This window comes from Homo sapiens, chromosome X (assembly GCF_000001405.40).
Source record: "Homo sapiens chromosome X, GRCh38.p14 Primary Assembly".
Lineage (NCBI taxonomy): Eukaryota > Metazoa > Chordata > Mammalia > Primates > Hominidae > Homo > Homo sapiens.
This window is the reverse complement of record NC_000023.11, coordinates 130,791,809-130,817,024: the sequence shown is the minus strand read 5'-3', so window position 1 is coordinate 130,817,024 and position 25,216 is coordinate 130,791,809. Positions and strand designations below refer to the sequence as shown.

Here is a 25,216-nt window from a genome sequence, read left to right as displayed (position 1 = left end):
TGGATAGTAGTCTATCTATTTTGTTAATCTTTTCAAAAAATCAGCTCCTGGATTCATTGATTTTCTTTTTGAAGGGTTTTTTTGTGTCTCTATCTCCTTCAGTTCTGCTCTGATCTTAGTTATTTCTTGTCTTCTGCTAGCTTTTGAATTTGTTTGCTCTTGCTGCTTTAGTTCTTTTAATTGTGATGTTAGGGTTTCGATTCTACATCTTTCCCACTTTCTCCTGTGGGTATTTAGTGTCTAAATTTCTCTCTAAACACTGCTTTAGCTGTGTCCCAGAGATTCTAGTACATTGTGTCTTTGTTCTCACTGGTGTCAAAGAACGTATTTATTTCTGCCTTAATTTCGTTATTTACCCAGTAGTCTTTCAGGAGCAGGTTGTTCAGTTTCCATGTAAATGTGCGGTTTTGTGTGAGTTTCTTTATCCTGAGTTCTAATTTGATTGCATTGTTGTCTGAGAGACTGTTATGATTTCTGTTCTTTTGCATTTGCTGAGGAGTGTTTTACTTCCAATTATGTGGTCAGTTTTAGAATAAGTATGATGTGGTGCTGAGAAGAATGTATATTCTGTTGATTTGGGCTGGAGAGTTCTGTAGATGTCTAATAGGGCTGCTTGGTCCAGAGCTGAGTTCAAGTCCTGGATATCCTTATTAATTTTCTGTCTCATTGATCTCTCTAATATTGACAGTGGGGTGTTAAAATCTCCCACTATTATTGTGTGGGAGTCTAAGTCTCTTTGTAGGTATCTAAGAACTTGCTTTATGAATCTGGGTGCTCCTGAATTGGGTGCATATATATTTAGGATAGTTAGCTCTTCTTGTTGCATTGATCCCTTTACCATACTGTAATGCTCTTCGTTGTCTTTTTTGGTCTTTGTTGGTTTAAAGTCTGTTTTATCAGAGAATAGGATTGCAACCCCTGCTTTTTTTGTTTGTTTGTTTGTTTTTGTTTTGCTTTCCATTTGCTTGGTAAATATTCCTCCATCCCTTTATTTTGAGCCTGTGTGTGTCTTTGCACATGAGATGGGTCTCCTGATTACAGCACACCGATGGGTCTTGACTCTATCCAATTTGCCAGTCCCAATTTGCTAATTGGGACATTTAGCCCATTTATATTTAAGGTTAATATTGTTATGTGTGAATTTGATCCTGTCATGATGATGCTAGCTGGTTATTTTGCCCATTAGTTGATGCAGTGTCTTCATAGTGTTGATGGTCTTTACGATTAGGTATGTTTTTGCAGTGGCTGGTACCTGTTTTTCCTTTGCATATTTAGTGCTTCCTTCAGGAGCTCTTGTAAGGCAGGCCTGGTGGTGACCAAACCTCTCAGTATTTGCTTGTCTTTAAAGGATTTTATTTCTCCTTCACTTATGAAGCTTAGTTTCGATGGATATGAAATTCTGGGATGAAAATTCTTTTGTTTAAAAATGTTGAATATTGCCCCTCACTCTCTTCTGGCTTATAGAGCTTCTGCAGAGATCTGCTGTTAGTCTGATGGGCTTCCCTTTTTGGGTAACCTGACGTTTCTCTCTGGCTACCCTTAACATTTTTTCCTTCATTTCAGCCTTGGTGAATCTGATGATTATATGTCTTAGGGTTGCTCTTCTCGAGGAGTATCTTTGTGGTGTTCTCTGTATTTCCTGAATTTAAGTGTTGGCCTGTCTTGCTAGGTTGGAGAAGTTCTCCTGGATAATATCCTGAAGAGTGTTTTGCAACTTGGTTCCATTGTTCCTGTCACTTTCAGGTACACCAATCAAACATAGGTTTGGTCTTTTTCACATAGTCCCATATTTCTTGGAAGCTTTATTCATTCCTTTTCATTCTTTTTTCTCTAATCTGTCTTCATGCTTTATTTCATTAAGTTGATCTTTGATCTCTGATGTCCTTTCTTCCTCTTGATCGACTCGGCTATTGATACTTGTGTATGCTTCACGAAGTTCTCGTGCTGTGTTTTTCAGCTCCATCAGGTCATTTATGTTCTTCTCTAAACTGGTTATTCTAGTTAGCAATTCCTCAAACCTTTTTTTCAAGGTTCTTAGCTTCCTTGCATTGGGTTAGAACATGCTCCTTTAGCTCGGAGGAGTTTGTTATTACCCACCTTCTGAAGCCTACTTCTGTCAATTCATCAAACTCATTCCCTGTCCAGTTTTGTTCTCTGCTGGCAAGGAGTTGTGATCCTTTGAAGGAAAAGAGGCGTTCTGGTTTTTGGAATTTTCAGACTTTTTGCACTGGTTTTTCCTCATCTTCGTGGATTTATCTACCTTTGATCTTTGATGTTGGTGACCATCAGATGGGGTTTCTGTGTGGAGGTCCTTTTTGTTGATGTTGATGCTATTCCTTTCTGTTTGTTAGTTTTCCTTCTAACAGTCAGGAACCTCTGCTGCAGGTCTGCTGGAGTTTGCTGGAGGTCCACTCGAGACCCTTTTTGCCTGAGTATCACCAGCAGAGGCTACAGAACAGCAAAGATTGCTGCCTCTTTTTTCCTTTTGAAGCTTCACCCCAGAGGGTCACCCACCAGATGCCAGCCGGAGCTCTCCTGTATGAAGTGTCTGTCGACCACTGCTGGGAGGTATCTCCCAGTCAGGAGGCAAGGAGGTCAGGGACCCACTTGAGGAGGCAGTCTGTCTCTTAGCAGAGCTCGAGAGCTGTGCTGGGAGATCTGCTGCTGTCTTCAGAGCCAGCAGGCAGGAACATTTAAGTCTGCTGAAGCTGCGCCCATAGCTGCCCCTTCCTGCAGGTGCTCTGTCCCGGGGAGATGGGAGTTTTATCTATAATCCCCTGACTGGGGCTGCTGCCTTTCTTTCAGAGATGCCTTTCCCAGAGAGGAGGAAGCTAGAGAGGCAGCCTGGCTACAGTGGCTTTGCTGAGCTGCCATGGGCTCCACCCCCTTCGAACCTCCTGGTGGCTTTGTTTACAGTGTGAGGGGGAAACCACCTACTCAAGTCTCAGTAATTGCAGATGTCCCTCTCCCCACCAAGCTCGAGCATCCAAGGTCAACTTCAGACTGCTGTGCTAGCAGCGAGAATTTCAAGCCAGTGGATCTTAGCTTGGCTCCATGGGGGTGGGATCCACTGAGCTAGACCACTTGGCTCCCTAGCTTCAACCTCCTTTCCAGGGGAGCAAACGGTTCTGTCTTGCTGGCGTTCCAGGCGCCACTGGGGTATGAAAACAAAACTGCAGCTAGTTCGGTGTCTGCCCAAACGGCCGCCCACTTTTATGCTTGAAATCCTGGGCCCTGGTGGTATAGGCACCTGAGGGAATCTTTTTGTCTGCGGGTTGTGAAGACCGTGGGAAAAGCATAGTATCTGGGTCGGAATTCACCGTTTTATGGCACAGTCCCTCATGGCTTCCCTTGGCTAGGGGAGGGGGTTCCCTGACCCCTTGAGCTTCCCGCGTGAGGTGATGCCCCACCCTGCTTCAGCCCACCTTTCTTGGGCTGTGCCCACTGTCTAACCAGTCCCAGTGAGATGAGCCAGATACCTCAGTTGGAAATGAAGAAATCACCCACCTTCTGCATTGATCTTGCTGGGAGCTGCAGACCAGAGCTGTTCCTATTCAGCCATCTTTCCAGCCACCCCCTTTCTTCATTTTCTTATAGTGATGTTATAGCTTTAGGTCTTACATTCAAGTCCCTAATCCATATTGCATTGATTTTTGTATATGTGTAAGATAAGGTTTAATGTCATTCTTCTGAATGTGCATATACGGTTTTCCCAGCACCATTTATTGAAGAGACTGTCCTTTCTCCTTGCGTGTTCTTGGCACGTTTGTTGAAAATCAATTGACTTTAAAGGAATGGATTTATTTCTAAGCTCTCTATTTTGTTCCATTGGTATATGTATCTGTTGTTATGCCAGTGTAGGTTGAGTATCCCTTATCTAAAATGCTTGGGACCAGAAGTGTTTCAGATTTGGGGATTTTTCAGATTTTGGAATATTTGCATTATACCTACTGGTTAAGCGTTCGTAATTCAAAAATCTGAAATCTGAAATACTCCAATGAGCATTTTCTTTTAGCGTCATGTCACTGCTCAAAAAATTTTGGATTTTGGAGTGTTTTAGATTTCAGAATTTCAGATTAGGGATACTCAACCTATGCTCTTTTAGTTACTATAGCTTTGTAGTACATTTTGAAGTCAGGTAGTGTGCTGCCCCTAACTTTGTTCTTTTTGCTCAGGATGCTTTATTTGGGGTCTTTTGTGGTTCCGCACAAATTTCAGGATTGATTTTTCGATTTTTGTAAAAAATGTCTGTGAAATTTTGATAGGGATTGCATTTACTCTGTAGATTGCCTTGGTAATATGAACATTTTAAGAATGTTAATTATTTTAATCCACAAACATGGGATATCTTTCCATTTATTTGTTTCTTGTTCATTTCTTTCATTTACATTCATGGTAATTATTGATAAGTAAGAATTAACTACTGCCATTTTGTTCATTGTCTTCTGGTTGTTTTGCAGATCCGTTATTCCTTTCTTCCTCTCTTGCCATCTTCTTTTGTGATGAAGTGATTTCCTTTAGTGGTATGCTTTGAATCTCATTTTTGAAGGACAGCTTTGCTGTGTAAAGTTTATTCTTAGTTGCTAGGTTTCTTTTTTCTTTAACTCTTTAAATATATTATGCTGCTCTCTCCTGGCCTGTAACGTTTCTGCTGAGAAATCCACTGCTAGCCTTACTGAATTTCCCTTATATGTGATTTGCCTCTTTTCTCTTATTGCTTTCAGGATGCCCTGTTTGTCTTGGCTTTTTGACAGTTTGATTATATGTCTGAGTATAGTCTTTTTTGGATTGAATCTGATTTGAGACTTTTGATCTTCTTTTACCTGGTTATTTATATCTTTTCCCAGATTTGGAAAGTTTTCTACTATTTTATTTAAGCAATAAGCTTTATACCCCTTTGTCATCTTTCTCTTCTACTTTAATTTCTATAACTAATGTTTGCTCTATTGATGCTACCCCATAAATCCTGTGAGCTCGCATCCTTTATTTTCATTCTTTTTTTTCCTCTTACTGTATATTTTCAAATAACCTGCCTTCAAGTTCACACATTCTCCTGCCTGATCAAGCCTGCTGTTGACTCTCTGTATTGCATTTTTCATTTAATTCATTGTATTTTTCAGCTCCAGAATTTGTTTGTTTGTTTGTTTGTTTAATAATTTCAATCTCTGTTAAATGTTTTAGTTTCTCATTTTGGTCATTTATTGTTTTTTTATTTCAATGAATTGTTTCTCTGTATGTTTTGTAAGTTTGCTAAGCTTTCTTAAAACAATTTGACTTATTTGTCAGACATATTATAAATCTTTATATCTTTAGAGTTGGCTACTGGAGCTTTATTTTGTTCTTTTGGTGGGATTGTATTTCCTTGATCATTATTGATATTTTTGGATTGGTATCTGCACATTTAAAAAAGTATGGGCTTATTCTAGTTTTGTAAACTGGCTTCGTCTCCAAAAGCCCTTCACTAGTCAGTCCATTTAGAGATTCTGGGAAGACCATTTGGTGTGATCCACAGGCAGGCTTGCTCTTGGAGTCTTTGAGCAGGCTGGCCTGGTGCCTGGGTCAGCAGGTGGATGGACCTAGTGCCTGGCTGGTTGGGGTTGAGCCTGGAGTCTGGATTCACTGTGGCGTATCTGTTGATTGAGTCTACTTGAATAAACCTGGAGCCTAAGTCCATTAGGGTAGGACTGGAAACTGTATCCTTGGAGGCTGGCCTAAAGCCTGAGTCCCAGGGGCTGGCTTGGTGCTGGGCTGGGCCTTGCACCTGAGTCTGCAGGGGCTAGCCAGATGCTGGGATGGGCCTGGCATCTGGGTCCACTGGGATGAGCCTGAAGCCTGAGTCCTTGAGGGCTGGTCTGGCACTGTGGTGAGCCTAGTACCTGCGACCACTCATGTAGGCAGATAGCCTGAATTCACAGGGACTGGCCTAGAGCCTGAGTCTGCAGGGGTGATTCTAGAGCCTTGGTCCATTGGGGGCTGTCCTGGAACCAGGGTCTACTGGGGTGGGCAGTACCCTGGGTTTTCTGAAGCAGGCCTGGTCCCTAAGGCCGCTGAAGCCTTGGGTAACAGAGACTAGCCTTGAACCTGAGGCTAGTCTGATGCTGGGGCAGTCATAGAGCTTAGGTGTGCAGGGGCCAGCCTGGTTCCTGGAGCTAGTGGAGATGGTTTGCAACGTGGGACTGTGGGGCTGGCCTGACGCCTGGGTCTGTCAGGGCTGGCCCAGTGCTTGGGTCTACTGGGATAGGCCTGGACCCTTCGTCTGTTGGGGCAGGCCTGGACCATGGGTTTGCTGAAGAAGCAGTGGGCCACAGGGACAGGCCTGGATGGTGGGCCCACAGGGACTTGGCCTGGCACTGGGCAGGCCTGAAACCTATGTTCATGGGGTCTAGCCTAGTGCCTGAGGTCAGGGTGCTGACCTGACATTGGGGCAGGCATGAAACCTAAGACTACATGGGCCTACTTAGCTGTGGGTTAGTCTGAAGCCTGGAATAGGCCTGGAGTCTGAGGCTTCAGGAGCTGGCCTGGCACTGGGCAGTCCTAGAGGCTATATCCAGGAGTGTTGGCCTGATGAATAGGACTGTGGGGGCTGACCTGGTGCTATGGTGGGCCTGAAGCCTAGGGCCATCATGGCCAGCCTGGTGCTGGGGGCAGTCTGAAGTCTGGGGCTACTGAGGCTGGCCTAGCCCTGCGGTGGACCTGGAGACTGAGTCTACATGTCGTGGCTGGATATTGAGTCTGTGGGAGCTATCCTGATGCCATGGTGGGCTTAGAGGTTCAGTCTGTGAGTACCAGCCTAAAGTCTGGGTCCATGGGAGCCTGCCCAGCAGTGGGATTTACTGAGGCAGCCTGGTGTTGGGGTCCAAGGTAACGTCTGGTGCTCACTTCCCTCCTCTTCTACCAAGCAGAGGGTATCTTTCCATACTGTGCTGCATGGGGTTGGGAGAGGGATTGACGTGGGTAGTATAAAACTGTCTGTCTTACACTCTTCCGTGTATCATTTCTTATTTCTGAGCTCCACCAAAGTGCTGTCATCTCTCACCTGGTTTCCTTCACTCTTGGGTAGGTATTTTTGTGTGTAGGTAGTTGTTCAAATTGATGTTTCTGTGGGGAGAGGAGTGCAAGAAGCTCTAGTCCACCATTTAGCTCAGGTCTTTCCACTTTCAATCATCTCGCTCCATTTTTTGGTGCTTTTTAAGTATGTATCACATTGTATTATTGCTCCTTGTCTACCTCTTTTCTGCAGATACACACACGCACATGCACACATACACACACACACACACGACACACATTTTGTAACTTTCTTGGGGGTGAAGACTTAACTTTAACTTGTAGTAAAAATGTACCCCTTTCCTAATTGTAACTATGACTAAATTGTTCTACTCACAATTTTAATACATAAAGAATGAGAAGAGGGAGACAAATCTAAGGAGGGACTTAATTGTGGATAATAAAACAAACTTTGTTTTTTCCCAGTCCAAGTGTTATAAAGCTTACTTTGGGGAGAATAAAAAAACATCGATCTTGGACATATGCTTTGGCCTTGTTTAAAGGACCATGAAAGAGTGAATTTTTATTGTCATCCCAGTAGAATCCAGTACTATAGTAGTGACACCAAATTTGGCAAATGTGGAACTAGCATCATTACTTTAGGTAGTATACTGTAAACTTTCTTCATGACAGTGTTATAAATGCTATCTGAAGTGGATATGCCAGCATTAACACTTGTTAAAATTGTGGTGACTGGTTCATTGTGTTTTCAACAGCTGCACATAAATCAACTCCTCCTCTGTAATGGAACAGCTAGTGCAGCTACCAACAAAGATGAAACAAATTGTAATTTTCTGATATCTTCAGGTAAGTAAAGCAGTATGTCTCTGTTAATAAACTTAATAAAACTCTCATGAACATTGTCATTTGTTGCATTTGTCACCTTTGTCACTATTTCTTGTTGCTCAATAGGAACATAACAGAAACTCACTTCCAGGCCAGAGGATCTTGAAGAAAATATTGACCAGACTTTGTAATTAAAAATAACTAAAAATGTATTGGTCTTTATATCACATACAAGGTCAATTAGTAGCCTACCATAAATGTGCATTCTATGATATACTAAGAAAGATATAAAATTAGTAGTTTAGTCTCTCTAGTTCTGTGAAGTGAGAGACAATATACGAAATGAACATCTATACATTTCATAGCTCAATAAGATGATAGAGACTGAAAGTGCTTGGAGAACATAAATTAAGGAGAGGTCCTTATGATATAGGGTTATTCTCAAAACGATTTTTTAGTCTTGCTAGGCTATTTGCTATCCCACCCAAATCACGTTTGCCAGAGTTTGGGATCTACCCCTTCCTGCTACAATCAGTAACAATCTCTGCCAGCTTTACAGATGTTACAGATTTTGAAATTTCTTTCCAACGCTGCATATGCCCTCCTTTTAACCTAATTGGTGGTATTTTTGTACACATTTTTAATTCCAGTTTTATGGCTAAATATTGGAACTTGCTTTCTGAATAATTCAATTACCAGTAATACCTTCTAACCCATTCACATACACAACTCACCTATCCATATTTTATGCCATTTACCTTTATATCCCAAGATTAGAAGGGGCTATGTAAAGAAGTCTTAGTTTTTGTTGTCTTAGCTCTAAAAAAAAACAGGTGAGGAAGGTAAGAGACACCAAATGTTTCCTAGAAAATGAGGTCACAGCTTTTGCTAACATACCTAATGTACTTCCTGTATTTGGACAAAGCACTTAATCACCAACATACTATATATTTTACCTATTTATTTTGTTTATTTTCTGTGTCTGCTACTAGAATGTGAGCTCCATGAAGGCCTGGATTTTTGTCTGTTTTGTTCACTGCTGTATTTCAAGAACCTAGCATGTAGTAATTGCTCAATAAATGTTAATTGAATAAAAGGAAAGTCATCCAAGGTTTATTTGATCAGTTTAAGCTCAGGTATCTAGGGCAACTACAAGTAAGGAAGAATGAGTAAAAGTCAACTCATTTTTACTGAGTATTTTTGCTATGTATCAGGTTATCTGTTGACTATGCTTTGCTTGAATTGTTTCATATAAGTTCCACAAAGCTCTGTGAAGTAGATAATATCCTCATTTACGGACAAAGAAATCAATGTTCGAGGAGTTAATTTTCTTCCAAAGCTGCACAGTCAGTAAGTGGCAGGGCAGGATTGTCATGCTAGACAGTTTGACTCCAGAGCCCTTCTTAGTCTACTATTCTGGTTGTTTGAAAAGGCCAGAGAAGCATTTAACCATAACACAACCTATTGCCACTTAAGCTGTACTGTAAGGGAATCCTATATTTTCAAGCAGGGCTATATGGTACTCACCTTGGTTAAGGAAGGACTTTAGACTAAAATGAATAATTTTAGATGGCACCTATAGAGAGAATATAAGTCCCCAACTGCTTCCATGAGGAGTCCTGCCAGTAAGAAGACTGGGGTCTAGTGCTGGATCTGCCATTAATTAGCTGTGACTTCTAGTAAAATGGCAGCAGTGGAGGGGAGGAAGAGACAGCAGTTAGACTAGGTGACTGCCAAGGTCCCTGCCAACTCTGAAACTTCTTTTTCTCTGTCTGTGAATGAAAGGCATAACAAGAGGCATTGTTGATTTTCATGTTGGGAACTCAAATGCCTTTCCCAATTTTAATCTGCTTTTCCATGCAACCTTACTGAAAGGTCCCTCCCCAACAAAATAATAGTGATAATCAGTTCATCATTTTAAAGCAACCATACGAATATTTTTACCAACTTTTTTCCAAACTTTATAACAGCTGGACATTGAATATCTTATTCTTTCAGCTCATGGGCCTTATGTCACCAAAATAGATGGCTAAATTTATTTTCACAGTGGCATTTTGCTTCCTTATTGGAAAGTAAATGACCTTATCAACTACTTTGGAATGCAACTATAGGGCTGTTTGCAAATGAGTAAAATTAGGTCAAGTGTAGTTAGGAGAAGTAGCATGCTATATTCATTCACTCAATTCAACAAATGCTAATTGAATACCCATATGTGTTAGGCACTGTACTATGTGCTAGAACACTAAAATTGGAGTCCTGAGACCAGTTTAACACTTAATGAACTCTATCAGGCCAATTAACCTTTTTAAACCTCAGTTTTCTCATTTTTTAAGAAAGTAATAATAATACCTACTTTAACCCCCAGAGTTATAAAAATTAAACATGAAATGATATGAAATACCTTTGTAAATATGAAATGATATGAAACATCTTTGTAACTGTAGAGTGCTATTTGGTGTTGATAGTTTTCATCTTGGACTCCATGTGAGGGAATCTAATTAATGAGGTTATTTTAGTCCTTGAGCCCCATTAGGCTGTTTCAGAATAAATATCATGAATGTGAAATCTGATTGAATGATTAGCACAAAGCCCTTAGTGAGTCAGTGGTAATTCTAGAAGGAGAACTTAAGCTCTAATAATGATAAAAGTTACATTTTAGTACATCTTGCTGATTTGGAAAAAAATTTTTTTTTAAATTCTTATGATGCATTGTTAATATTTTAGCATTCTATTGTCCACTCATTATCCTTCTTTTGTGCAAGAATTTATGGAAATATTTATGCAGTTATGCAGTCCTTATTCATTTGCTTTTAATTACTTCTGCTAGTACATAGAATTAAATTTATTTGAATTTGTTAAGTAGAAGATGCTTTTTCAGTAAGTCAGTGGTACAAATTCTCAGTCACACATGGCAGTATTAACAGTAATAATGTTCTGTAACAGTAAAAGGCTTGAATGTAGTTAAAAAGGTGTTCTAGGCTGCCGGTGTAGCAGCCTGCAATTTTTTCCTTTTCCCCTAGCAAAGGTTAAGTATCAGCCAAACTTTGTACACTAGAGCAAGCGTTTTTCTGGTTCTGTCATCTGTGATTCATAGCATCCTTTGTTTAAATGATAATGCACTCTGAGACCACACCTTGCCCAGTCTGGTAGAAGCAATCTCCTGCAAACAGATCCAAGTATTTCTATGTGAACTCTACTAGTTGAGCATACCACTGCAGTTGAGGTACAGCAAATTATGGATTACTTGTTTCTGATAAAATTACTTGTTTCCTTATAGTAAAGCCTTGGGAATAAATACTTCCAATCTGGGTTTCCTCTCATCCTCTTCAGCTGCGAGCAGGAACAATCATTGCCATCACAGAGTCAAACTTTGCTTCTGACATTGACATTTTTTCCTAAATAAAGGAGACAGTAACTCCATTCACTATGTCTGCCTCAGTTCCATGCCTCTAATGAAGTGAGAATAAGTGATAGAAAGAGATCGAGTTGATACCAGGGCAAGGTAGCGAGAGGACCATTGTAAAATGTGTCCCAGCATGTATTGAGTGTCTATGGATATGACATATGGTGGTGTGTAAATGTGCATGTGTACCCATGATTGTGCCAGGGGTGAGGGTGAGTGTTGAGCAGACAAGATGCCATTAGCTTAGGAAAAAGAAACTGTACTTACACATGGCTCGAAAGCAATTTTTAAAACAAAAAGGAACACAGGCAGAGCGTAGAATGGGCAGCCAGTGTGGCATGGTCACAAGGAATACTTTGTTACTGATACTGTCTCAGACATTTTCCCTAGGAATTTATTTCTCTAATTTAAGAATCCTGGACTGTTATTCCCTGCCGTTCCACGACATTCAGCTTAAATGTTCTTCCGGACTTGGTAACCCTTTTTCCTTTATTCTTGGCATTATTTGTTGAAAGAACATTTCTGAAAATATGGAAAAGCAGTTTTGAAGTCCAAAAGCTGCCTTGAAACCATCACTGTGATGGTGTTTTAGTCTGTTCGGGCTGCTATAACAAAATACTGAGTAGTTTATAAACAGAAATTTATTGCATACAGTTTAGAAGCTGAGAAGTCCAAGATGAAAGTGCCAGCAGATCTGGCATCTGGTGAGGGCTTTCTGCCTCATGTATGGTACCTTGTATGTGTCCTCATATGGTGGAAGGGACAAACTCCCTCAGGCCCCTTTCATAAGGACACTAATCCCATTCATGTGGGATGTCAACCTAATCACCCCTCAAACACCCCATGTCTTACTAACATCACCCTTGGGGATTAGGTTTCAACCTATGAATTTTGGGTAACAGGGAACACAAGCATTCAGACCATAGTTAAGTGGAATGGGCAAAGTTTTACCAGGAAGTGTGAGATCTCTGCGAATTGAGATATTAATGGCTTATGCACCAAGGAAGATACCAGGATTCAGAAAATTGAGTTGAGAAATGTATCTGGATCTGGATAAAATAGTTATAACAGGAAGCTTGTGAAAAATTGACGTGAATTCTAAAAGTAGGATCACCTTTTTAGTGGTAGGGGACAAAGAGTATTTTTGTGCAGTGGCCCCACTACATTAAGTAATGGGAAGGAAGAGAAGGAAGAAAGTTTTAAAGAAAAACCAAAGAGAAGCCTTTTAGGTGAATGTGATGGAACAGCTGAAGGCTGGTATCTGCATTGAGAGGGAAGAAGAGATACTAGTGCAATTGTCAACTACCTCTTATAATGTTCAGGACTCCTACAAAGGTTAATAACATCTTTGGGTGCCCAAGACGAGGGAAATAATGGAGTGTCAAGAGAGGCTACTAACAGTGTTCAAAGTGCCAAAGTTTAGACATCACTTCTTGCCCCCCATTTCCTATAAACAAGGACTTAGAGACAAACTGCAATTCTGTGGCAGTTCTGTGTTTAAGACACTAAATATAAGTATAGAATGATGGGTCTAAGCCAGAAGGTTAGAGGTTTGAGGTTTAAGTCAAGTCTTGATTATTCAGGAGCTCATTATCTGGTTTGTAGGTTATCCATACCCTTGGTATTCTTTATTCTCCATTCTGCTGCCTCACTTTTGGTAATTTTACTGCTCATTAATTCTTTTACCAGAGGGTGGGCAGGGAAGGAATAGGAGAATGATGCTTCTATCAGCCAATTTTGCTACCTGTTAGTGCTCTGGTGGAGATTCTGATGGGGAAGGAGGCAGAAACTATGGGCCAAAATGAGAGGTTTGGGGTCCATATGAATTTCACTTTTCTTCATGATCTCTATCCTCTGTGAAAAGGTGAATTCATTGTATAGCTTTTGGAAAAAAATACAATTCATTTCTTTTTATTTTCAGATCCTTTTATCACAATGTTATGCTAGAAAATACACTATACCAAGCAAACTTCTATCCGTCCCTAGGGAGGGGTATGTTAAAGTATTTGATGTGGCAGTTTCAGTAATATGCTGTGGAATTTTTTGGTAGTAGTCAGCATTTTTCTTTTTCTTTTGAATTACCTATAACAACTTTTTAATTCATTAACCTTCTTATATATGTTTGGCTTCTCCCAAAGTTATTCCAGCTCCTATCTGTAATCCCTTTTGCTAGGATGACTGGGCTGTGTTCCATTTAATTCATTTTCTTGCTCCAACACTAATTATTTGGGGTTGGTAATTAAGCCACATATGTCACTTTCTGGCTTATTTGTAAAGTACAGATCTAATCATGTTATAATACATGTTTTTGAAATGTAAAAGGTTTTAAATATGGGTGAATTGACTTGGATCACTAAGGGCTCTCTTTTGTGGTGGTCCAGGAAGCAATGGAAGTAACATGTATTTTAACAAAATATATGTGTGTAATATAGCCTGTGGTTTACTTACAGTGAGGAAGAAAGAAGCCAGAGGCTTAGAAAAATCAGTTAATAAAATCCCACATAATCTTGAAGATGAGGCCTAGAAAGATGAAGAAATGCAACTGTGTTTAATAAACTATTTTCAAAACAAAGTATTTAATTCTGTTTTGTAGAATTAAATATTAAATGATAATAAAAATCAGAAGACCCTCTATGATTTTATAAATTATTCACTTTTAAAAATATTACATGATCCAACAAATATTTTGCACCAAATATGCATAAAGCCCATATTCTTACATTTTAGAAGGAGTCTAGAAACTGCAGAAATGTTCCATAAGTAATACTCATTCATGCCTTCATTATTTGTGAATAAAAAATGTATCATGGCATAACGGGCTTCATCCTTGCATAACTACAAGGAATTCTAATACAGACAAAATATTTTTACCATTGCCTTTGTTTATTTAAATACTAACTTTTTGAGCTTAATCAATGTTCAGTTTGCTTGAAAGAAGTCTCTTGTCCAGAATTGCCTGCTTAGCATGATGGTTTCCTCACTTCTTGTTTTTAATAAATCATTTCTAAATAATTAACTAGGCAATAGTACAAACTGAAACAATGGATTAGTTCTTCATGGCTCCTAGTAATTATTAAAAATGCAACTCTCCTGTTGACTAGGACCCCTAATAGAGAAGCCTGATCCCTGGAGTGTTAGTTGGGAGACCAAACTCTGCCACTGGCTTGCTGTGGAACTTTAAACAAGTCACTTTAGCGTCTCTGAGCTTTAGAATTCCGTATTTTAACTTTGTAATAATGCCTTCTCTGGTCACCTCACAAAGTAGCTGTGAGGTGGATGTGAAGCAAAGTTGAAAGGATAATAGCAGTCTCTGAATATAAATTATTGTTGTTAAAATAATAAAGTCAAGCATTTGTTTAGTCATAGCACTAAACGAATGTTTCTTCTTTCGCGGCTGCTTCATGTTTATCTGCATCTTTTCTGTAAACCCCAGCTTCTCACTGTATCAAGCAAGACAATATATTTGGTGATACAGTTCACCTCTATGCCGAAGGGCAGAAGCAACCATTTTAAAAAAAATAATGTGGCTTGCTAGAGGATATCTGGGAAGCAGCAACAGATGAATTGCCATTTTGAGCCAAATCATTTTGTTGACCACAAGGCAGAACAGCAGCAAGCTCAGATGGGAGAACTATAGTCATTATCCAAAGGTCAGACTTGATAAGCAGACTCTGCTATTTCTTCCTCTAACTCCCATATGTCTGGAGGGGCATGTGGGCGGCAGGGGGAGCCAGAAATCTCACTGTCAAAAAAGTATTTAAGTGATTTTCTGCAAATAGAACTGATTATATTCTGTGTAGAATAACAGGATCCCCTGTCTTCAAGGAGTTCATAGTCTAGGGAAGTAAAGCAGCAGCAAGAGCTTCAGGTAGAGTCTACCTTTGACTTTTTGCTTGCCTCAAAGTAGACATTCCGTAAATGTCATTTGGATGATTGGATGAATGAATGAATGAATGGGTAGAGAGATGTGTAATGAATGAACAATGAAATCTGAAAGGTAATTCTTGGAGTTTCTATTTGGAAAATCGGAGGTGATAACTTGAAAACATTTGACAATGTATCTACTTCCATTAGAAATTTACCCGAAATTCAGATCATGGGTGAGGAATAAGTTTATTATTTTTATTAATTTGTATAGAAAATAAAACTGAAAATTAAGAATTTCATCTCTTTTGTGTAAAGTTATGCTCCAAATGAATTACGGTATTATGAAGTTATGTTATATTGAATAATTTGTCATAATATATTTTTAATTAATTTTATTTGTTCCTCATCAGGACATCTTAAAGGTAACATTTACACTTTTTCTTTAATCAGTGGTGAGCCATGGATCAGTAAAAACATTTATCCGAACACAACTCTGCAGGCAACATGGTACAGGAGGAAAGATTTGTAGCCCAAAAATCTGGATTCCAGCTCCTCCACATATTGACATTATAACCTTTTGGAAATACAGAAGCTTCTCTGAGCTGCAATTTCCTTATTTACAAGCCAACAACATTAATACCTTCCCCCTTCCCCCACCATAAGGATATTGTGGAAGCACTTGCTAAGCCGTGTTATTCTAGGATGATGTCAGATATTGTTAAGGCAGTAGTTAGAAATAATGTGCTAGCACGCCAAGACTTTGGTTTCTGGCATTCTGGTGTAGAGGGTGGCGTGCAGTCCCTGACCATTGGCCACCACCGTAAGAATATTCAACTTAAAGATAGTTATGTGAAAGATTCCTCAAAGTTGCCATTAAACAAAATGTGTTGAACATAGTGATTGGATAGATTGTAAGGAACCATTTTATACGCCATTTTGATTGTACTATTCATTTGAAGACATCTCCAGACTTCACTTATATTTGCCAATCCAAATGGTATATACTATACATTGCTCTGGTTTACAATAACCAGAATGGAGTTGTTTCATTGATAGACCCTCATAGCATTTGACAAGCACCAAAGTTATTAGAAGCTTTGCTTTACTGTAATTGTCACTCTTACTAAATTGTAAAATGACCATTTCAATTTGGAGGATTATTATCCTACTAAACACAAATCAATTCACTATCCTCTAAAATGTAACTATGTTTAAGAACAATAAGCAAGCCACAGCTATTCCCTGTGTGCTGGATGAGGTTGTAAATGTGTCACCAAATGTACAAATCAGGTTGTCACTGAAGCACAATTCTATCTCCAAAAGGGAAGACAATTATTAAGAAGGAGCTTAAAAAAAAAGACATTTTGTAGATGTATTAAAATAGAAAACATAAGCTGATTAGGCAAAGTTCCAAAGATTCATTAGTTTATTAAAGTAGATTGAAATGAATGTTGAAGAGATTTAAATAAATTAACCTTTAATGAGTACCCAGGGGCCAAGGAAAAAGAATGACAGAGGATTAGGAGTATTTTCTCTGATTGTTGCATAATGCACGCTGATTAGTTTTTTTTTTTTTTTTGACTACTCATTGCTGTATAACAATACTAATAAATAAAAAAGATTAAATTTAAAAACCTCTAGATTATAATTTTTGCTTGCTTTTATGTGTACACAACTACCATGCTTGGCTTTAATAACAATTCCTATAACATTGGCAGAGAGAGACAGGAATTTTTGTCATTATGTCAGTGTGTTTTGAAATGTCTCACATGTGAGCGTAGCTTTGGTCAATTAGGGTAATTTATTCCTACCATACTGGGCATACTTTTAGCATTTCAGCGTTAGACTCTTCTTCTGAGTTTCATAATGCTTGTTCCGTAAATAATATTAATTGATGGCAAGTTACTTAGAAGATATATTGGTATTTAAACATCATTAAAAAAAAACTGTTCTGTGCTTCCTTACATGTTCTGGTTTATAATTAGCAAAATTCTTAAAAAGGCTTTTTTTTTGAGCAGCATCAGAAGTACTTTAATTTTTTGGGGGGGTGCCTTAACTGTACTACTATTAAATCATTTACTGCCTGCTAAATAAGTTTTGTGTAGGTGGTACTAGGAAAGCATCCTTCCAGGGCTCTCCCTGTTCTCCCTGCTCTCCTTTTCTGCCCCTATTAATTACTGAGTTTTATTTCATGCTTTTATGGATGTCTTCCATCTAAGCTTTTCTTTCTTTATCTTAAATTCAGAGCTGGCAGATCACATGTTTCAACTCATTTTTCAGCTGAGGAAACTGACAAAGAATTACTCACCCAAGGTTACCCTATGAGTTGATGGAAGAGCAGAGACCACAGCCTGCATCTTTATGGCCTGTTCTTCCACTACACTTGTATTAGTCAGGGTTCTCTAAAGGGACAGAACTAATAGGGTAGATGTATATATAAAGGGGAGTTTATTAAGGAGTATGGACTCACATGATTACAAGGTGAAGTCCCACAATGGGCCGTCTGCAAGCTGAGGAGCAGGGAAGCCACTCTGAGTCCCAAAACCTCAAAAGTTAGGGAAGTCAACAGTGCAGCCTTCAGTCTGTGGCCAAAGGCCTGAGAGCTCCTGGCAAACCACTGATATAAGTCCAAGAGTTTAAAAGCTGAAGAACTTGGAGTCTGATGTTCAAGGACAGGAAGCATCCAGTACAGGAGAAAGATAAAGACCAGAAGACTCAGCCAGTCTAGTCCTTCCATGTTCTTTTGCCTGCTTAATTCTAGGTGCACTAGCAGCTGATTAGATGGCACCCACCAAGATCAAGGGTGGGTCTGCCTCTCCCAGTCCACTAACTCAAATGTTAATCTCCTTTGGCATCGCCCTTACAGACACACCCAGGAACAATACTTTGTATCCTTCAATCTATTCAAGTTGACACTCAATATTAACCATCACAGCACTTAACTGTGCCTTTGCATTTTTTATATTTTACCAGATCCTTTCTAAAGTTCAATGGAATTACTGAGGTGACAGGTGACATCGGCAAACCACATTCAGTGTGATTTTTATCCAATGGTGTTATAGTTGCAGTGCTTTCCGGTATTCTTCATGACATTGTACACATATTGGTATAAATGAATGATTACTTGAGGACAGGGGTGAGTGGCCTGGAGTCCCAAGGGTTATGAGATTCAAAGCCAGTCCCCAAGGGCAGTTTGGAACCTTTCTCCTGGAAATTAATAAGAAAACAGACACAATATTTCTGAAGTATTTTATCTGGTTCTTCTAGAACTAAGGTAAGGAACTTAATCCTGTAATTATACTTTGTCTAAATTTGTTTCCAATATTTCAGTTCTTTTTGTTTTTCCAGTAACCCTTCTAATCTTTCTTTCCAAAAGAGAATCTCATTTTTCATAAAAGTATCATAAATTGGACAAGTTTAAGTCTAACGTACTTATACCACACAACCAATACCTTTCCCTACAGATTGTAGGTACAGAGTTAATTAACTTACCTTCTAAGTGTTACCTGGTTTGAACTTTAAAAAATAAAAATAAACTTTGGACAGCGAATACTCATTTTCTGGCTTTAAATTAGAAAACTATTTAGAACTGTGTTTCTCAATTCTGGCTGCACATTAGAATCACCTGGTAGCTTTTTAAATTTTTGTTTGTTTGTTTTTTACTTTTTGTAGAGATGGACGTCTTGCTATGTTGCCCAGGCCAGTCTGGAAGTCCTGGACTCAAGGGATCATCTTGCTGTGGCTTCCCAAAGTGCTGGTATCACAGGCGTGAGCCACCATGCCTGGCCACCTGGTGGCTTTTAAAAACTAGATGCTTAGGTTCCACCCTGACCAATTTAATGAGAATTTCTGGTGGTAGAGTCCAGGCATTGTTTTCTGTTTGTTTTGTTTTTGTCTTTTTTTTTCTCAGTGCTCCAGTTGAATTTAATATGTAGCCAGGGATAAGACACACTGCCTTAAAGTCTTGATCTCCTCCAGGGCCACTCCTGACAAATATATTATGTTGGGCCCTGGGTTGGGGCAAGCAAGTAGGCTGATTAAAAAACAACAACAACAACACACACACACAGAACATGGGAGCCCTTTTTTTGCCTCTGTTTACTTTGGAGAAAACCAGATTTGGGTCACATGTGTGCCAAAGAAAACAATTGCCTTTTAAAAGCCCAAAGAAAGGACCTTTAAGTAGAATTGCTTTTCTGCACTGCTGCTATATGGTCATCATTGCATCTGCTCAGGAGGCCAAGCTGCTCGGTCAAGTTTTCAAGAGCCTTAGTTCACCTGCTCTTCCATTTTCTCCTTCCCCCATCATCTCAGGCAAGTGGCCAATTTCCAGGAAATTCTGAGCCTGTAAATTTGTCAAGCCTGTAAATTTACTAATCCAAATCTTCTCCAAAGGATAAGTTTCCCCAAGCCTAATGTCAGGGCGGGGCGGGAGGGTCTAAAAAATAATAATGGAACAAACACAATGGAAGATGGAGACAGATTCAATTAGGAAGGGAATGAAAGTGGAAATGATCTTCCAAATAAGAGTAATACCTTGGCATTGAGACCCATTCCAAGATCCTAGTGACATCAATTGGATTGAGAGAGTGTTTTGGTCTTTTCTGATCTCAACTTCTTTAAGGCATTTTTTGGAAAGTTACTATGCTTTTACAGTCTGACTTTGCCTGGTACAATGGTTTCTCTATTTTTTAATCAGAGAAATTGGCTTATACTTTTCCTGCCTCTGGAGTGCCTAGAACTCTTAGGTGTTAAGAATCTGTGCAGTGTTTAAGTCCTACCTCCCACAATGTAATGTAACATGATTTTAACTCTCATACAGTGCTGTTTTGTTGCAGAGACACTCTTAAGTTGAAAATGTTCATGAATTCAGCTGTGGCACTCTCTTCAACTCAATCCATCACTTTGCAATCTTCTAGGAGCCCTGATTTGCTCTGTCAATTGTTTGTCACAGAGCATCTTCCTGAAATGAATTTACTTTAAAGTTAAAGATGATTAGAGTGCTTCTTCTCCAGGAGACAATTACATTGCTATATTCTTTGGCAGGGAGAAAAACAACATAGCATTAATTTTTCCAGGCTTTCTTTGAGTATTGTTAAAGGGAGAATTGTTAACTTAATCCAACAGACTATAATAACAAAAAGAATACTGTTATTAAAATGTTAAGATTTTCTAATAAAATTTTAAGGAGTTGTTTGGGAGGAGGGAAGGGAGAAGGATGAAAGGAGAAAGCAAAGGAATCTATTAAGTGTTTCTGACCTTCAAAAATACTTTTGTCTTTTGTCAGTGAATGCTATAGACAAAATAAACCAAGTCTGAGACCTATTATGAAAATGCTTTTCCCCATCTTTATCCCAATACTATGTTATTCTGCCTCTTAGACAATTATACTTTTTTTCTGAATGAATTAATATCTTTTGACAAGCTTTGTTAAGAATACCTAGTAAAGGTCAAGTGTAAGCCATTTACTGCTGTTTCCTGGCAGCCTTTATGCCATGGTAAATAGAGATTGGAAGCAGTTTTATTTTTGAGCATGGATTTATGGATATGCTTCTATTGGACTGTGCTTTTTCTCATACTGAAACCCACAAATGTTGCAGGATTTTCAGGACTGTGGCTTAAGAATTTTTTCATGGAGTCATCTCAGACTCCTCTCTTCTCCTCAACTCCCAGATCCAATTATACATGAAATCCAGATGATTATATTTCCTGAATATCTCTGAAATCCATTCATTTTTTTTCATCCCACTGCCACTGTCTGAGTTCATGCGACTGTCATCTCTCCATTGTATCATTATGGTTTTCTTCTAACTGGTCTCTCTGCCTCTGGTGTCTTCTCACCTTCAGTGCATCCTTCATCATGCCATAGGAGTGGTCTTTCTAAGGCACAAATCAGATGGTGACAGCCCCCCACCCAGAACACACACATACACACACACACACATATTAGAATGAACTCTAAGATCCTACAATAAGTCGTCTGATAAGGCTCTGTGTACTCCTGTGGAGAGAGCTTTTGGGGGTTAGGTAAAACTTCACTGAAGAGGTGACATTTGAGCCGAGTTTTGAAGGATGAATAAAAGTTCTCCAGGTGGAAAAAGGAAAAGTTATATGTCAAGCAGAGGAGATGGTATGTGCAGAAGCACATAGACATGACAGGGCTTAGCATGTTTGAGGAATTTTGAGAATTTTGGCATGAATGAAGCAAAGGGTACTTAGGGGAATTGGCAAGAGATGAAGCTGGTACAGTAATTTGGGCCAGATTTTCTTTGTATGTATCTGCCTTTCTTTCTTTTGTTGTCTTCTTGAGGAAAAAAAACTATCATATTAAATCCTAAAATTCTCAAGCCTTACATACTGTCAAGGCACCCAGAATTGTTTGAATGAATTGGACAAATAAAGAGAGAGACTATCAGTCAATATTAATTTATTGGTTTGTTTATTCCCATATGTATTGAATACCTCAATTAAAATCCAGACTGTAGCAAAATTAAGATCCTACTTTTTTTTTATACAACAGCAATGGTAGGAGTTGTTTCAGACACAGATTAGTGATTTTTTTGCAGGCTTTTTACTTTACAGTCATGCTGTCTTCTCAAGGAGCAGATTCTGGTTTTCCTAGTGGTAGGTTTGACTTCAGCTTAGGCAGGGACTTCTCTAAAGGAGTTAATCAGTTGTCAACACCTTGTATTGATACTCCTAGGAGAAATTGTTATAGGAAAAGTATGGATCTTTAAGGATGCATTAGCATATTACAGGAAGCTCTGTTTTCTCCTGTGTGTTTAATTTCATAGCCAACAGCGAGGGTTATTTCTCATACATTCTTGAAAAACTAGCCCAAATGGGGCTAAAAGATTAGGAATGCAGAAAGCATAATTCCAGAACATTAGTGACGCAGTATAGCAAAATTAATAGGGTGGGAGCCAGGAGGGAGGATAAAAATTTTGAATATGTAAATGAAGATTGACCATATTTATGTGGTTCTATCTTTAGGGAATGCTAAACCACAAACTCATCATTGGTTAATTAGAAGATAATTAAAATTGTAGCATAGTGATTGGATAAATAGTTAATGAAGGCTGAATAAACAAAGAAAGGAAATCTGGTGAAATTGGTGTGTACATTTTGGGCAAAGCAAAGATACAAATGTTATTCATGCGGTGCATCAGTCTTAAAGGATACCAGTATCCTTCTAGCATTAACTGATAAAATTAACTCTCCAAAGACCAAAAGACCAGCTCTCACTTTCTCCTTCAAAACATCTTACACTGAAATGCAGATTTATTTGACAGCAACTTCAATTTTCATTCACTCACAGCATGTGAAATTATTTTGCTGAACCTTGTTTACAACTTATTTACTGGCATCTTAATAATCTATTAGCAGAAATTGGTGTTCTCTGTGTGTAGTAACTGTTCCTACTTAAAGAGCTGGCTCAGCCTAGGCTCCTGACCAGATCTGGCTGACAAGCTAGTTTTCAAAACCAGTGAAGTGGTTTCTGCAGGGAGAACTGTGCTTGCTTTTGATAATTGCCTCAGTTTTATGAAATCAATCAGCCTGAAGGGAAGACCTCATTACAGATCTGACAAGATAGACTCCAATTTCAATACTAGAACAACTCTCTGTCCTCAGGCTCTGAAATCTGCAATTATTTATTTTATTTAGACAGAGACAACCATAATAGAGTACCTCTGGGCACATTCTCAGGGAAGTACTCAACAGATAACCTAATGGTCAGTGTGCTAGGAACCTGCCCTTTTCCTGTCACTCAGGTGGAAAATTGGTCAACAGGAATTACAGCATGGCCTAGAGCCAGCTCAAAGCAGACACTGATGAATCACCATCTTTCCAATCCCCTACCCCAAAAGATGTGGAGAGAAAGGGTAGCTGCTGTAACTGTTCCCAGGGCTAAACTACAACAAAATAAGGCTTTCTCTTCTCAGTTCCTCTGAAGACTGCCAGACAGACTTTATTCTAAGGAAAATGATAGATCACCCATCTACCATCTGTCACTTTGAACTGTTCTATCAAATCAACATTTTTTTGAACTTTGTTTTCAATGAGGAATGTGATTTTGCTGTGTTTCCCAAGCCTTAAATTGGACAAGGGAAAAAAGTCCTGAAGTGTTCTTCTTCTTGAAGTTGGAAATATGTATTTTGCTTTTCTGCTCACGGAACACAAACACCTTAACAGATTTAGTTCAGACTTTTCTCGAATAATTCACCCTTTACCAGGCCTGGGAGATGTCAGCCCCACAGAAAAAACACAGAGAACATTATGAGTGTACGAAAATATGGATTTAGAGAGAAATGATACTCTCTCTAGTCCAGCTGTAGTATCACTGCTAGCAGTGTTCTGATAGTACAGCACCCAGATGGAACAGAGCATTCCTGAAAGATTTGGGAGGAGACATTTCCATTGTTAGGGGAAAATGTGATTCTTTCATGTTGGACAGTTCAAGGTAGTGATGAATATGGTCTCCTAAACAGAATCCAAGCAAAGAGCAATCACTGACTACTCCCGCATTATTTATTCATGATTTACTTTAATGGCTTTGTGTTATTAAGAAAAAGTAGGTTAGAAGAGGAATGCAAAGCTAACATCTTCCAAGCTGTAAATAGACTGTAGCCTGGAGGCCGAAGGAGCCACACTACTCAAATGTTCTTATTCCATTTTTGAGACAAATTTATATAAACCCCCCATTGGGTTAGAAGGGCATTGACATTTGTTTAGTGTCCAACATGTGCTACACCTTAAACATACAATCTCTTATTTAATTTTCCTCACTTTGCTGTAAGGGGGGCATTATCATCCCCATTTTACAATGCAGAAACAGTCTGAGAGAGATCAAGTGACCTGTTTTATACACCTTGTAAGTGGCACACTTAGTAAGTGGCACACCTAGTAAGTTGCAGATGTGGCTTTGAATGCAGATCTGACTCTAGAGCAGCACTGTCCAGCAGAAGTTTCTGGGATGATTGAAATGTTATATAAATATGCTGTCCAAAACAGCAGCCACTAGCTACATGTAACTATTGAGCACTTGAAATGTGATTAGTGCAACTGAGCAACTGAACTTTTCACTTTTTTTCTTTCTTTCTGGTTTTGTTTTTTGTTTTTTGTTTTTTTAGATGGAGCCTTGCTCTGTCAGCCCAGGCTAGAGTGCAGTGGTGTGATCTCAGCCCACTGCAACCTCCGCCACCCGGGTTCAAGTGATTCTCCTGCCTCAGCCTCCTGAGTAGCTGGGATTACAGGCGCGTGCCACCATGCCCAGCTGATTTTTGTATTTTTAGTAGAGACGGGGTTTCACCATGTTGGTCAGGCTGGTCTCGAACTCCCGACCTCGTGATCCACCCACCTCGGCCTCCCAAAGTGCTGGGATTACAGGCGTGAGCCACTGTGCCCGGCCTGAACTTTTCATTTTATTCCATTTTAATTAATTTAAAGAGCTACATATGGCTAGTGGCTACTGTATTGCATAGCACATCTCCAGAGATTGCCTTTTCTTTTTTAAAAACTTTTAAGTTTAGCGGTACATGTGCAGGTTTGTTATAGGGGTAAACTCATGTCATGGGATTTTGTTGTACAGATTATTTCATTACCCAGGTATTAAGCATAGTACCCTTTAGTTATTTGTCTTGATCCTCTCCCTCCTTCCACCCTCCACCCTCAAGTAAGCTCCAGTATCTGTTGTTCCCCTCTGTGTGTCCATGTGTTCTCATCATTTAGCTTCCACTTATAAGTGAGAACATACAGTATTTGGTTTTCTGTTCCTGTGTGAGTTTGCTAAGGATAATGGCCTCTACCTCCATCCATGTTCCTGCAAAGGAGATGATCTCATTCTTTTTTATGGCTGCATAGTATTCCATGGTGTATATGTACCACATATCAAAGACATGGAATGAACCTAAATGCCCATCAATGGTAGACTGGATAGAGACTGCCTTTTCTTAACTGTAGTTTGTAAATGGGACATGTAACCTGATGTACATAGAACGATTAACAGAAGATCCATATATGGGATCTCTTTTATAGTATTCTCTCAGGTAACGGTCTTGGTCAATGGAAGGACTGTTTTGCCCTTCAGAAAGAGAGAATGAAATTATGCAGATA

General features: G+C 39.2%; 1 protein-coding gene and 1 long non-coding RNA gene across 18 annotated transcripts in view; one reads left to right on the top strand and one right to left on the bottom strand.

Annotated features, from left to right (window-relative positions):
• ENOX2 (ecto-NOX disulfide-thiol exchanger 2) overlaps window positions 1-25,216 on the top strand; it is a 280,885-nt gene that overhangs the window by 86,185 nt on the left and 169,484 nt on the right. For 3 of the 17 annotated variants that reach the window (XM_011531245.3, NM_001382518.1, NM_001382516.1), the window contains one exon: window positions 7,764-7,854. The exons of the other annotated variants lie outside the window; for them this stretch is intronic. In XM_011531245.3, coding sequence (XP_011529547.1) covers window positions 7,764-7,854 — 91 coding nt within the window. The remainder of the gene's footprint in view (window positions 1-7,763; window positions 7,855-25,216) is intronic. 17 annotated transcript variants of the gene reach the window in all.
• ENOX2-AS1 (ENOX2 antisense RNA 1) lies at window positions 10,627-14,389 on the bottom strand. The gene is made up of 3 exons (NR_135655.1): window positions 14,136-14,389; window positions 13,685-13,756; window positions 10,627-11,228 (listed from the first exon to the last, which is right to left on the bottom strand). It is a non-coding gene; the product is annotated as an ENOX2 antisense RNA 1 (long non-coding RNA).